Below are 13,804 nucleotides of genomic sequence, written 5' to 3' on the forward strand. Positions count from 1 at the left end.
ATAAAACCCATCTGGCAAATAATCTAATTTTTCCTTCTGTTTTTGTTTGAGTTTGTTTTTTTCAATGTAGGGTAGGGGGACACTCCTGTCTCTCTTTCTTTGGCTATTTCCACATTCACACAAATAAAAAATTCAGTCTCATTATTTTCACAGCTATTTGATATGTATTCACACACTTATGTATGAAAATAACAGAATGGGGCAAAAAACAGGAAAAAAGATCTAGAATTGAGGTTGTAATGTTTCATTGTATGAATATGAAAACAAGAAAAACACATTAGGGGTTTTTGTTTTTGTAGGAGGCGGCATAGATCTTGAAGCACTAGGAATTTTGGTTCAGGAAGTAAAATGTTTTAAAAGGATTCCACCCATATTAGAGATTCCACCATGTGGTTTTCACTATTTACAGAGGATTTATGAAGTAAAATCCAGATACAGCATATCCTGTTATAGGTAAGTGAGCCTTTTAATACTTAAAATAGTAAAGCTGCATTGATACACATTAAGTGTTCTTATAGATCCAATAAATCTGCCCCTGGCCAAAATAAAGTTATTTGATAATCATAATTACAAAAACAACACCAGCACTACATAACTTAATTTCATTTTGTAGAGGTTACTAGTCTAATACATAAAAATTAGACAATAGACACATTTTCTTTATTTCATAACTTTTTCATAAATATATGTGACAACTTGGCATCAATATTAGAATCAGCCTAAGACAGAGCTGATTATACTCTAATACATGCTTTTATTCAGTCACAGCTATTATGGAAACCAAGGCAGAAAATGATGCATTAGCAAAACTAACCTTCTTCATATCACTAATAAAAGTGGTAAATGCTACAGCTAACATCATACTACAAGCTCTCAGCTTTTCTTCTAAGAACTGAAATGAGACAAGGATGCTCACCCCTTTTATTCAACATAGAACTGGAAGTCCTAGTCAGAGCAATTAGGCAAGAGAAAGAAAAATAAAGGGCATCCAAATTGGAAAGGAAGAAGTCAAACTGTTCCTATTTGCAGACAACATGATCTTATACATAGAAAAACCTAAAGTCTCTACCAAAAAACTCTTAGAATAAATGAATTCAGTAAAGTTGCAGATATAAAATCAACATAGAAAAATCAGTAGCATTTTCTATATGCAAGCAATGAACTAAGAAATCAAGAAGCAATCCATTTGCAATAGGTACAAAAACACATACACACAAAACAAATGGGAATAAATTTAACTGAGGAGGTGAAAACCTTCACAAAAATAACTACAAAACACTGACGAAAGAAACCGAGGAGGATACAGACGAATGGAAAAACATCCCCGGCTCGTGGATCAGAAGAATTAATATTGTTAAAAGGACCACACTATCCAAAGTGATCTATAGATCCAATGTAATCCTTATCAAAATAACAATGACACTCTTCATGCAAGTAGAAAAAAAATCCTAAAACTTCTATGGAACCACAAAAGACCCTAAACAGCCACAACAATCCTCAGCAAAAGGAACAAAGCTGGAGGCATCAAACTACCACACTTCCAAATATACTACAAAGCTGTAGTAACCAAAAAACAGCATGGTATGGCATAAAAACAGAAACACAGACCAACAGAACAGAGAACCTAGAAATACATCCATGTATCTACAGCCAATTGATTTTAGTTAGAAGTACCAAGAACCTAAGTTGAGGAGAGAACACTCTCTTCAATAAATGGTGCTGGGAAAACTAGATGTCCACATGCAGAAGAATGAAACCAGATCTAACCCCCTCACCTTATATAAAAATCAACTCAAAATGGATCAAAGACCTAAATGTAAGACCTCAAACTACAAAACCACTTTAAGAAAACAGGTGAAATACTTCAGGACATTGGTTTGGGAAATGATTTTATGAATAAGACCTCAAAAGCACAGACAACAAAAGCAAAAAATAAATTAGTGAGATGATACCAAACTTAAAAAATAAATTAGTGAGATGATGTAAAACGCTTCTGTACAGCAAAGGGAACAAACAAGGGTAAAAAGACAACCTACAGAATGGGAGAAAATATCAACAGCAAAAAATAAAAATTCAATTAAAAATGGGCAAAGAGCCTGAATAGACACTTCAAAAAAGAACACATACAAAATGACCAATAAACACATGAAAAAAAAAAAAAAAAAACTCAATACCACTGATCATCAGGGAAATGCAAATCAAAACTATAATGAGGTATCGTCTCATCCCAGTTATGATGGCTATTAGCAAAAAGACAAAAAATAAACTCTTGCAAGGATGCAGAGAAAAGGAATTCTTTTTTGAGACAGGGTCTTGCTCTGTTGCCCAGGCTAGAGTGCAGTGGCATGGTCATAGCTCACTGAGTCCTCAACTTCCTGGGCTCAAGTAATCCTCTTGCTCAACTTCCCAACTAGCTGGGACTATGGATATGCACCACCAGGCCTGGCTAATTTTTTGATTTTTAGTAGAGATGAGGTCTTGCTATGTTGTCCAGGGTGGTTTCAAATTCCTGAACTCAAGCAATCCTCCCACCTCAGCCTCCCAAAGTGCTAGGATTACACTTGTGAGCCACTGCACCGGCCAGGAAAGGAACTCTTATACACTGTTGGTGAGAATGTAAACTAGAACATATACTACTATGGACAACAGTATGAAGTTCCTCACAAAACTAAAAATAGAATTACCATATGATCCAGCAACCCCACTACAGGGCATTCATCCAAAGGAAAAAACAATCAATACATCAAAGAGGCATCTGCATCTCCCCAGCATGTTTACTGCAGCACTATTCACAACAGCCAAGACATGGAATCAACCTAAGTGTCCAACAACAGATGAAGAACAGATAATGAAAATGTGGTATATGCATACAATGGAATGCTATTCAGCCATTAAAAAAATGAAATCCAGTCATTAACAGCAACATGGATGGAACTGGAGGACATTATGCTAAGTGAAATCAAGCCAAGAACCAAAAGTTAAACACCCAATATTCTCACTGATATGTGGAAGCTAAAAAAAGTTTATCTCAGCCGGGTGCAGTGGCTCACGCCTGTAATCCCAGCACTTTGGGAGGCCGAGGCGGACAGATCACCTGAGGTTAGGAGTTCGAGACCAGCCTGACCAGCGTGGTGAAACTCCATCTCTACTAAAAAATACAAAAATTGATGGGTGTGGTGGCGGGCGCCTGTAATCCCAGCTACTCTGGAGGCTGAGGCAGGAGAATCACTTGAGCCTGGAAGGCAGAGGTTGCTGTGAGCCGAGACCACACCACTGCACTCCAGCAAGAGCGAAAACTCCATCTAAAAAAAAAAAAGGGTTGATATCATAGAAGTAGAAAGTAGGACAGAGTATACTAGAGGCTGGGAAGGGTGGGAGGAAGAGAGGGATAGGAAGAGATTTGTTAAAGGATACAAAATTACCGCAAGACTGGAGGGCAAAGTTCTAGTGTTCTATATACCACTGTAAGATAACTACAATTAGCAATAATACATCACCTAGTTTCAAAGATCTAGAAGGAGGAAACTGAATGTTCTCAACACAAAGAAATGATAAATGTTTGAGATGCACATACTAATTACCCTGATATGATCACTACATACTACATGTATTGCAACATCACTATGTACCCCATAAGTATGTACAATTATTATGGGTCAGTTAAAAAAAATCAATAAATAAAACATTTTAAGTGGTAACTGAAGAAAAAAAGAGGACAAATTCAGTGGTGCTATTTTCCTTCAACAAAGTATATGGCTTGTTTATGTTTGCTGGAATATTTAAATAGTGGATGCAAAGGTAGTCTCTGGTTGTATTTTTTCTAAAGGGAAACAAATGGTTATTCCCTAAAATGCCTAAAACTGGCTTCCTTGCCAATTTCCAAAGTATGGTCTTCAAATACATTTGTTTTGGAAGGGATAAAAAGACTTTTTTTTTTTTTTTTTGCAACCTCAAGCATTGTGAAATAATAAGAGCATTATACACAACAAATTATTTAATTAGTTTAAACATGATCTGAAGGAGAAATACAGCAGCTAAGAGATTATATAACATGGGGGAGGGAGAGGTAAGGGAAAGCTTCTCCAAATATGAGCTGCTTAAGCTAAGATCTTAAGTGTACGAATTAGCTTAGAAAAGTGAGGTTAAAAGTATTACACACATGCTATGTGTAAGTTCTGAGATGGGTATGTGTTGCAATGTTCTAGGACCAGATGGCAGGTCCTGCCAGTCTCCTCTATTGTGATGAGAAGGCAGGAGAAGCTAAGTGCCAAGGCTAGTAGTTTTAGCAGAGGAGGCTGAGGTGGCTCCTATCTAATGATTTCCATTTTCTCTGTAGCTAGGTGGTTGGGTAATTTGATAGAGTGTGTAGGGGAAGGTGTTAAGGATAGCTAGAGGCTTGCAGAAACTCAGCATGATACATCTGAGATTGCTAATTTAAAAAAATACAACTGATTTTTATATAGTGCTGCTCAATCCTGTGACCCTGATAAACTTACTATTAGTTCTAATAGCTTTAATATTGATTCTTTGGCATGTTCTACATAGGTCATCATCCTGTACATAAACAAAGACAGCTTTATTTCTCTCTTTTAAATGTGTAGGTCTCATTTCTTTTTCTTCCCTTTTTGCATTGGCTAGACCTTCCATCCAGTACAATGTTGAAGACAAGCAGTGAAAATGGACAGCCTTGCCTAGTTCCTGATCTTAGGGGCAAAGCATTCAATCTTTCATCATTAAGAATATTAGCAACTGGCTTTATGTACTTACTGCCTTTTATTGCCTAGTCTCAGAAGTCTCTACTGCACATGCTCTATGAGTTGAGGCAGCCACAAAGGTTCAAGGGGAGGGACAAAGGCTCCACTTTTGATGGGGAGTGATAAGGTTCTGGATGAGCATGTGGGACCAGAAACTGTCTTTTCAATTTTGAAAATGCAAATGCTACAGCATCTTAATGATTTATCTCCTCATATGGCATATTCTCCCTTTTCCTGCTTTACCTAGGGAAATTCTATCCATTCTTCACATATCCTCTGTGAAATCTCTGATTATTCCAGCCCTCATAGATCTCTCTGCTGAAATGTTATCAGACTTTAGTCTATTACTGAAACTCTTACACTATATCATGAATTCTATTAATGTAATAATAGTATGTTTTATTCACCATTATATCCCCAAGGCCTAACACAGTACCTGTTAACATAGGGTAAATCAAATAAAAATGTAAAGAAATGTATGGATTATAACTCATTATTTCATTATGTAAGAGTTTGTACTGATTGATGTATTTACGAGTCTATTTGACTAACATCTGTGCCAGGCACTGTGCTAGGTTGGGAATATGATGTCAAGTAAGACAGACCCTGATGCGGTTAACAGAGGAACTGTGGATGGGGTAGGCACAGGTGTCCATGTGTACTTGGGGGTGGGGGTGGGGGTAGAGCATCTGCAGTGCATATAGAGTTGTTTACCTGAGATGCCTCTGGTACTTCTTAGAGATGTTCAAGAAACAAGGAATATTATGGGTCTCGTGGTCAGGTGAGAGGTCTGATCTGGAGATATAGGTATGAAAATCAGTGTTCAGGGAACAAGTCAATCACTGATGTGGATAAGATCATCAAGGAAGAAGAGTCAAAGATACAAGAAAAAGTATATTCACTATAGCATTATTTATAACAGTGAAAAAATAGACAAATGTTCTACCATTAGGGAACCAATTAAATAAATTATGGCATATTAATAAAATATTGTGCAGTCACAAAAACAGTATTTTAGAAAAAATATTTGTTGACAAGGAAAATAACTCATGATCCATTATACAGAAAAAGTTAGGGTATAAAAACAGCACATAATGCATGGTCTCAACTTTGTAAAAAGAAATGTGTTAATGTTGGTTGTTTCTGAATGGTGGTGACAATCTGGTTGACTTTATTTTCTGCTCTATACTTTGTAATGTCTTAGTTTCTAATATGAACATAGGTTTTATTACAAAAAAGTGTTATTTCTTAATCTAAAATATGTAGCTGCTAATGTTTACCTGATGAGTGTGGTTAAGATCTTAACACAGATTTTGTGGATAGAAGGCTTTAATCTTTTAAAATTTTAGACCTTTAATTGAGAATATTAATTTTAACCTATAGCAGCTACAGGTCTTCTCACATTCTCTAATTTAATCATCCCAACAACACTATATGGTAGACACTATTATTTTATAGATCTGGAAACAGGCCAGGTCAGGTAGTTTACCCAAGGTTACAACGGGGCTAGTGAAGCTGTGGAAAGAGGACTGTCTCCAGGTCCTGTTTGACTCCAATAAGCCACCCTTTACCACAATTGACACCTGGCATCCCAAGACACCTTCACATAGGTTATAAATATTTCTCAAACTTGTTTGATCAAAACAATCACCCGGAGGGTGCTTGCTAAGCATACAGGAATCTAAGAGAGGGAGGTAGATAGAAGGTGGGAGGGTTATACAAGGATTCTATCGCCGTATCTCAGACCTTCTGAATAAAAACTTCCCAGGGTGGGGGAGGAGAGAAGACAAGTTTGAGAGTTTTTTTTTTTTTTTTTTTTTTTGGGACGGAGTCTCCTTCTGTCACCCAGGCTGGAGTGCAGTGGCACAATCTTGGTTCACCGCAAGCTCTGCCTCCTGGGTTACACCATTCTCCTGCCTCAGCCTCCCAAGTAGCTGGGACTACAGGCGCCCGCCACCACACCTGGCTCATTTTTTTTTTGCATTTTTAGTAGAGACGGGGTTTCACCGTGTTAGCCAGGATGGTCTTGATCTCCTGACCTCGTGATCCGCCCGCCTTGGCCTCCCAACGTGCTGGGATTACAGGCGTGAGCTAGCGTGCCCAGCTGACAAGCTTGAGAGTTTTTAAACAAGGGCCCCAAGCAAATTTACTGTCAGGCAAGTTTGTGAAATTCTATTATCACATTAGATAATTGATACTCAGTTTTACAGAGCAGGAAGATGAGCCCCAAATCAGATTAAGCTACAGTATATGGTGGCAAAGACAAGAACTACACAGTTCAACTGCAATTAATTTTCAAATTTAAGATTCATTTGTGGAATTTCAAAGTCCAAGATAAATTCGCAAAGATATGGGGTCACATGAGCAACTCTGGCACGTGCACCATAATAAATTCTGTGGTCACCCTAATTACAACCCTTTCAGAGTAATCAACTGGTTAATCTGAATTTGGCTGTCTGGGTTGGCTGTTCATTTGTTTATTATTTACATATTTATTTGCAAAAAAATCTCATGTTGTAAGTTTAAATAAGGGCATATCATATACTGGTATAAGGAATAGTCAAAACCAGCATAGGGCAAAATTCCTGTGGTGTCTCTCTAAACGCCTTATTTCTCTCTTCCCAGTTCAGCAACTGTGCAACTGAACATGGTGGAGAAATATAACCACAAGTATGCTGAACAGACTTACTTTAACTTTATAATAATTAATAACCTCAAGTGGGACTTTAATAGTGGCATCTGTTCTGTGACCCATTTTTGCTTACAGTTGGCTAATTATTAAGAAGTTAACAGAGGTTTAAGCTGTGACCTCAGGCTCGTGGATGTATGAAAAAAACCTTCAGGGAACTTAAGCTAAAATCATGGTCTAACAGGTGGTAGAATAGATACTTTTAAAGGGTAGGGCTAGCACTGTTTTAGTTTTCCCTTAAATATTACTACCAACAATGATTGTAAGGTCTAGCTGCACACACAGGAGCCACAAATATCTGCTTGCTTTAACTTAATAAAGACTTAAGGCAAAATCCACTCTATCATCTCATTCCAGACATTTTGGTTTTCCAAAGCTACACAAATTTATTAACTTTTGGTTTGCAGTTTCAACTTATGCTGAGCTACACTTAAAAATACTTACTGCCAGGTATGGTGGCTCACACCTATAATCCAGTGCTTTTGGAGGCCAAGACGGGAGGATCACTTGAAGCCAGGAGTTCAAGACCAGCCTGGGCAACCAAGCAAAACCTCTCTCTCTACAAAAAATTAAAAAATTAGCTGAGTACAGCGGCATGTGCCTGTAGTCCCAGCTACTTCGGAGACTGAGATAGGGGGATTGCTGGAACCCAGGAGGTTGAGGCTGCAGGGAGCTATGATCGCACCACTGCACCCCAGCTTGGACCACAGAGTAAGACGCTATCTCTTAAACAAAACAAAGCAAAATAAACAAAAACTTTTGCAGGGGTCTACCAATTATGGGAATAACGCTCATTATAAAACGTTTAAAAGCTAGATATAGAAAATATTTAAAAATCTAAAATCACCCATAGTTGAAGAATTCAATTATAATAACTGCCAATATTTTTGCATTTTCCTTAGTAAGAGTGACAGTTTCAGAGCCTCCTATGTGCCAGGTACTCTGCTCTTTACTTGTATTATTGAATCTTTACAACAACGCTTTGACGTAGGTACTATTAGCACTCCCGTTTTACTGATGAGGAAACCTAGACTAATAGCTTATATAACTTTGCCCACAGACACAATACTACTAAGTGGTGGAGTCAGTATTCAAACTCACTTTCTGTCCTATTCCAGGACCTGTACTATCAACTATACAATAATGCCCATTCTTTTGTTATTCACTTATGTGTGTGGACTCCAACTATCCTTTGATCTCAACGGGCCCTACAATCTTTTGAATCTACGACATTTTCACTATTTCTCACCTGCTCATGTCCTAACATGCCACCTGGCTCAGCTTCCATGGTCAACCACCAGAACTGTTCCCTTGTGTACACACTGACTCCCTTGCTTCTCTTTCACTTTGTCATATGCTCTTGGCTAATTCCAACACTGCCTAGATCCAACTCTCTGCCTATTCCATACCAGCACTTTTGCAGCTGAACACAGTGGAGAAAAAGAACCACAATCATGCTAAACAGACTTATATATTTTTTATACATTTAAAAAAATAAATGGAATGCTTCACGAATTTACGTGTCATCCTTGCATAGGGGCCATGCTAATCTTCTCTGTATTTTTCCAATTTTAGTATACGTGCTGCCAAAGCAAGCACACAGACTTCTTTTTAAAATTATTTTATTTTTAAATTATTTTTATACTTTAAGTTTTAGGGTACATGTGCACAATGTGCAGGTTAGTTACATATGTATACATGTGCCATGTTGGTGCACTGCACCCATTAACTCGTCATTTAGCATTAGGTATATCTCCTAATGCTATCCCTCCCCCCTCCCCCCACCCCACAACAGGCCCAGGTGTGTGATGTTCCCCTTCCTGTGTCCACGTGTTCTCACTGTTCAATTCCCACCTATGAGTGAGAACATGCAGTGTTTGGTTTTTAGTCCTTGCGATAGTTTGCTGAGAATGATGGTTTCCAGCTTCATCCATGTCCCTACAAAGGACATGAACTCATCATTTTTTATGGCTGCATAGTATTCCATGGTGTATATGTGCCACATTTTCTTAATCCAGTCTTTGTTGGACATTTGGCTTGGTTCCAAGTCTTTGCTATTGCGAATAGTGCCGCAGTAAACATACGTGTGCATGTGTCTTTATAGCAGCATGATTTATAATCCTTTGGGTATATGCCCAGTAATGGGATGGCTGGGTCAAATGGTATTTCTAGTTCTAGATCCCTGAGGAATCGCCACACTGACTTCCACAAGGGTTGAACTAGTTTACAGTCCCACCAACAGTGTAAAAGTGTTCCTATTTCTCCACATCCTCTCCAGCACCTGTTGTTTCCTGACTTTTTAATGATCGCCATTCTAACTGGTGTGAGATGGTATCTCATTGTGGTTTTCATTTGCATTTCTCTGATGGCCAGTTTTGATGAGCATTTTTTCATGTGTTTTTTGGCTGCATAAATGTCTTCTTTTGAGAAGTGTCTGTTCATATCCTTCACCCACTTTTTGATGGGGTTGTTTTTTTCTTGTAAATTTGTTTGAGTTCATTGTAGATTCTGGATATTAGCCCTTTGTCAGAGAGTAGGTTGCAAAAATTTTCTCCCATTCTGTAGGTTGCCTGTTCACTCTGATGGTAGTTTCTTTTGCTGTGCAGAAGCTCTTGAGTTTAATTAGATCCCATTTGTCAATTTTGGCTTCTGTTGTCATTGCTTTTGGTGTTTTAGACATGAAGTCCTTGCCCATGCCTATGTCCTGAATGGTATTGCCTAGGTTTTCTTCTAGGGTTTTTATGGTTTTAGGTCTAACATGTAAATCTTTAATTCATCTTGAATTAATTTTTGTATGAGGTGTAAGGAAGGGATCCAGTTTCAGCTTTCTAAATATGGCTAGCCAGTTTTCCCAGCACCATTTATTAAATAGGGAATCTTCTCCCCATTGCTTGTTTTTGTCAGGTTTGTCAAAGATCACATAGTTGTAGATAGGCGGCATTATTTCTGAAGGCTCTGTTCTGTTCCATTGATCTATATCTCTGTTTTGGTACGAGTACCATGCTGTTTTGGTTACTGTAGCCTTGTAGTATAGTTTGAAGTCAGGTAGCGTGATGCCTCCAGCTTTGTTCTTTTGGCTTAGGATTGACTTCGCAATGCGGGCTCTTTTTTGGTTCCATATGAACTTTAAAGTAGTTTTTTCCAATTCTGTGAAGAAAGTCATTGGTAGCTTGATGGGGATGGCGTTGAATCTATAAATTACCTGGGGCAGTATGGCCATTTTCATGATATTGATTCTTCCTACCCATGAGCATGGAATGTTCTTCCATTTGTTTGCATCCTCTTTTATTTCATTGAGCAGTGGTTTGTAGTTCTCCTTGAAGAGTTCCTTCACAATCCCTTGTAAGTTGGATTCCTAGGTATTTTATTCTCTTTGAAGCAATTGTGAATGGGAGTTCACTCATGATTTGGCTCTCTGTCTGTTACTGGTGTATAAGAATGCTTGTGATTTTTGCACATTGATTTTGTATCCTGAGACTTTGCTCAAGTTGCTTATCAGCTTAAGGAGATTTTGGGCTGAGACGATGGGGTTTTCCAGATATACAATCATGTCATCTGCAAACAGGGACAATTTGACTTCCTCTTTTCCTAACTGAATGCCCTTTATTTCCTTCCTTCTCCTGCCTGACTGCCCTGGCCAGAACTTGCAACACTATGTTGAATAGGAGTGGTGAGAGAGGGCATCCCCACCAGGCCTGCCCTAAAAGAGCTCCTGAAGGAAGCACTAAACATGGAAAGGAACAACTGGTACCAGCCACTGCAAAAACATGCCAAATTGTAAAGACCATCAAGGCTAGGAAGAAACTGCATCAACTAACGAGCAAAATAACCAGCTAACATCATAATGACAGGATCAAATTCACACATAACAATACTAACCTTAAATGTAAATGGGCTAAATGCTCCAATTAAAAGGCACAGACTGACAAATTGGATAGAGTCAAGACCCATCAGTGTGCTGTATTCAGGAAACCCGTCTCACATGCAGAGACACACATAGGCTCAAAATAAAGGGATGGAGGAAGATCTATCAAGCAAATGGAAAACAAAAAAAGGCAGGGGTTGCAATCCTAGTCTCTGATAAAACAGACTTTAAACCAACAAAGATCAAAAGAGACACAGAAGGCCATTACATAATGGTAAAGGGATCAATTCAACAAGAAGAACTAACTATCCTAAATATATATGCACCCAATACAGGAGCACCCAGATTCATAAAGCAAGTCCTTAGTGACCTACAGAGAGACTTAGACTCCCACACAATAATAATGGGAGACTTTAACACCCCACTGTCAACATTAGACAGATCAACGAGACAGAAAGTTAATAAGGATATCCGGGAATTGAACTCAGCTCTGCACCAAGCGGACCTAATAGACATCTACAGAACTCTCCACCCCAAATCAACAGAATATACATTCTTTTCAGCACCACACCACATCTATTCCAAAATTGACCACACAGTTGGAAGTAAAGCACTCCTCAGCAAATGTAAAAGAACAGAAATTATAACAAACTGTCTCTCAGATCACAGTGCAATCAAATTAGAACTCTGGATTAAGAAACTCACTCAAAACTGCTCAACTACATGGAAACTGAACAACCTGCTCCTGAATGACTACTGGGTACATAACGAAATGAAGGCAGAAATAAAGAGGTTCTTTGAAACCAACGAGAACAAAGATACAACATACCAGAATCTCTGGGACACATTCAAAGCAGTGTGTAGAGGGAAATTTATAGCACAAAATGCCCACAAGAGAAAGCAGGAAAGATCTAAAATTGACACCCTAACATCACAATTAAAAGAACTAGAGAAGCAAGGGCAAACACATTCAAAAGCTAGCGGAAGGCAAGAGATCAGAGCAGAACTGAAGGAAATAGAGATACAAAAAATCCTTCAAAAAAATCAATGAATCCAGGAGCTGGTTTTTTGAAAAGATCAAGAAAATTGATAGACCGCTAGCAAGACTAATAAAGAAGAGAGAAGAATCAAATAGATGCAATAAAAAATGATAAAGGGGATATCACCACCGACCCCACAGAAATACAAACTACCATCAGAGAATACTATAAACACCTCTACGCAAATAAACTAGAAAATCTAGAAGAAATGGATAAATTCCTCGACACATATACTCTCCCAAGACTAAATCAGGAAGAAGTTGAATCTCTGAATAGACCAATAACAGGCTCTGAAATTGAGGCAATAATTAATATCTTACCAACCAAAAAAAGTCCAGGACCAGATGGATTCACAGCTGAATTCTACCAGAGGTACAAGGAGAAGCTGATACCATTCCTTCTGAAACTATTCCAATCAATAGAAAAAGAGGGAATCCTCCCTAACTTATTTTATGAGGCCAGCATCATCCTGATACCAAAGCCTGGCAGAGACACAACAAAAAAAGAGAATTTTAGACCAATATCCTTGATGAACACTGATGCAAAAATCCTCAATAAAATACTGGCAAACCGAATACAGCAACACATCAAAAAGCTTATCCACCATGATCAAGTGGGCTTCATCCCTGGGATGCAAGGCTGGTTCAACATACGAAAATCAATAAACGTAATCCAGCATATAAACAGAACCAAAGACAAAAACCACATGATTATCTCAATAGATGCAGAAAAGGCCTTTGACAAAATTCAACAATGCTTCATGCTAAAAACTCTCAATAAATTAGGTATTGATGGGATGTATCTCAAAATAATAATAGCTATCTATGACAAACCCACAGCCAATATCATACTGAATGGACAAAAACTGGAAGCATTCCCTTTGAAAATAAATAGACTTATTTTAACTTCAGAATTAATAACTTCAAGTGGGGACTTTAATAAGGTTACTGGCAATCATATTGTATTTCTCAATCCATCAACTCTCTCACTGTTTTATAAGGCTATTTCTGTAAACCTCAATACCTTCCCCCCCTCTTCACTCTCAGCTGATAACCTGGCTTCCCAATTCACTGAGAAAAAAAGAAAGAAAGGTAATAAACAACTTGACCAGCTTCCATTAGATGTCATGTGGTGTGCATGCCTTTTCTCCTGGTATTATGAAGGAACTCTGTGCTCCTACCTAATCCAAGCTTCCACTGTGCTCTCAAACTCTTTTCCCTCTTGTCTTCACAAGGACTGTGTTTTAGAAATTTTTCATTCTTCCTGCACTGCCAAGTTTTCCTGTCTCACCTACCAACACATATTAAAAGATCCTCTTGATCGCATTTCCACCTCCATCTACTGCTTCATCTCTCTCTTTCTCTTTATGGCAAGCCACTCTGGAGTCTTTTGTTTTTCCCCCATTTTTTCCTAAACCCACTCTAGTCAGGCTTTCATGTTTACACCAATGCACCAA

At 38.2% G+C, this 13,804-nt stretch overlaps 1 protein-coding gene and 1 pseudogene across 5 annotated transcripts in view; both read right to left on the reverse strand.

Moving 5' to 3' along the window:
* The window catches only part of MICU2 (mitochondrial calcium uptake 2), a 111,480-nt gene that overhangs the window by 49,678 nt on the left and 47,998 nt on the right, over positions 1–13,804 (reverse strand). Inside the window, exon 1 of one of the 5 annotated variants that reach the window (XM_017020433.2) lies at positions 5,469–5,529. The exons of the other annotated variants lie outside the window; for them this stretch is intronic. The gene's annotated coding sequence lies outside the window, so the exon portion shown is untranslated. Of the gene's footprint in view, positions 1–5,468; positions 5,530–13,804 lie in introns of those variants that run through there. 5 annotated transcript variants of the gene reach the window in all.
* Positions 8,936–9,042, reverse strand: RNU6-59P (RNA, U6 small nuclear 59, pseudogene; annotated as a pseudogene).

Source organism: Homo sapiens, chromosome 13, assembly GCF_000001405.40.
Source record: "Homo sapiens chromosome 13, GRCh38.p14 Primary Assembly".
Classification (NCBI taxonomy): domain Eukaryota; kingdom Metazoa; phylum Chordata; class Mammalia; order Primates; family Hominidae; genus Homo; species Homo sapiens.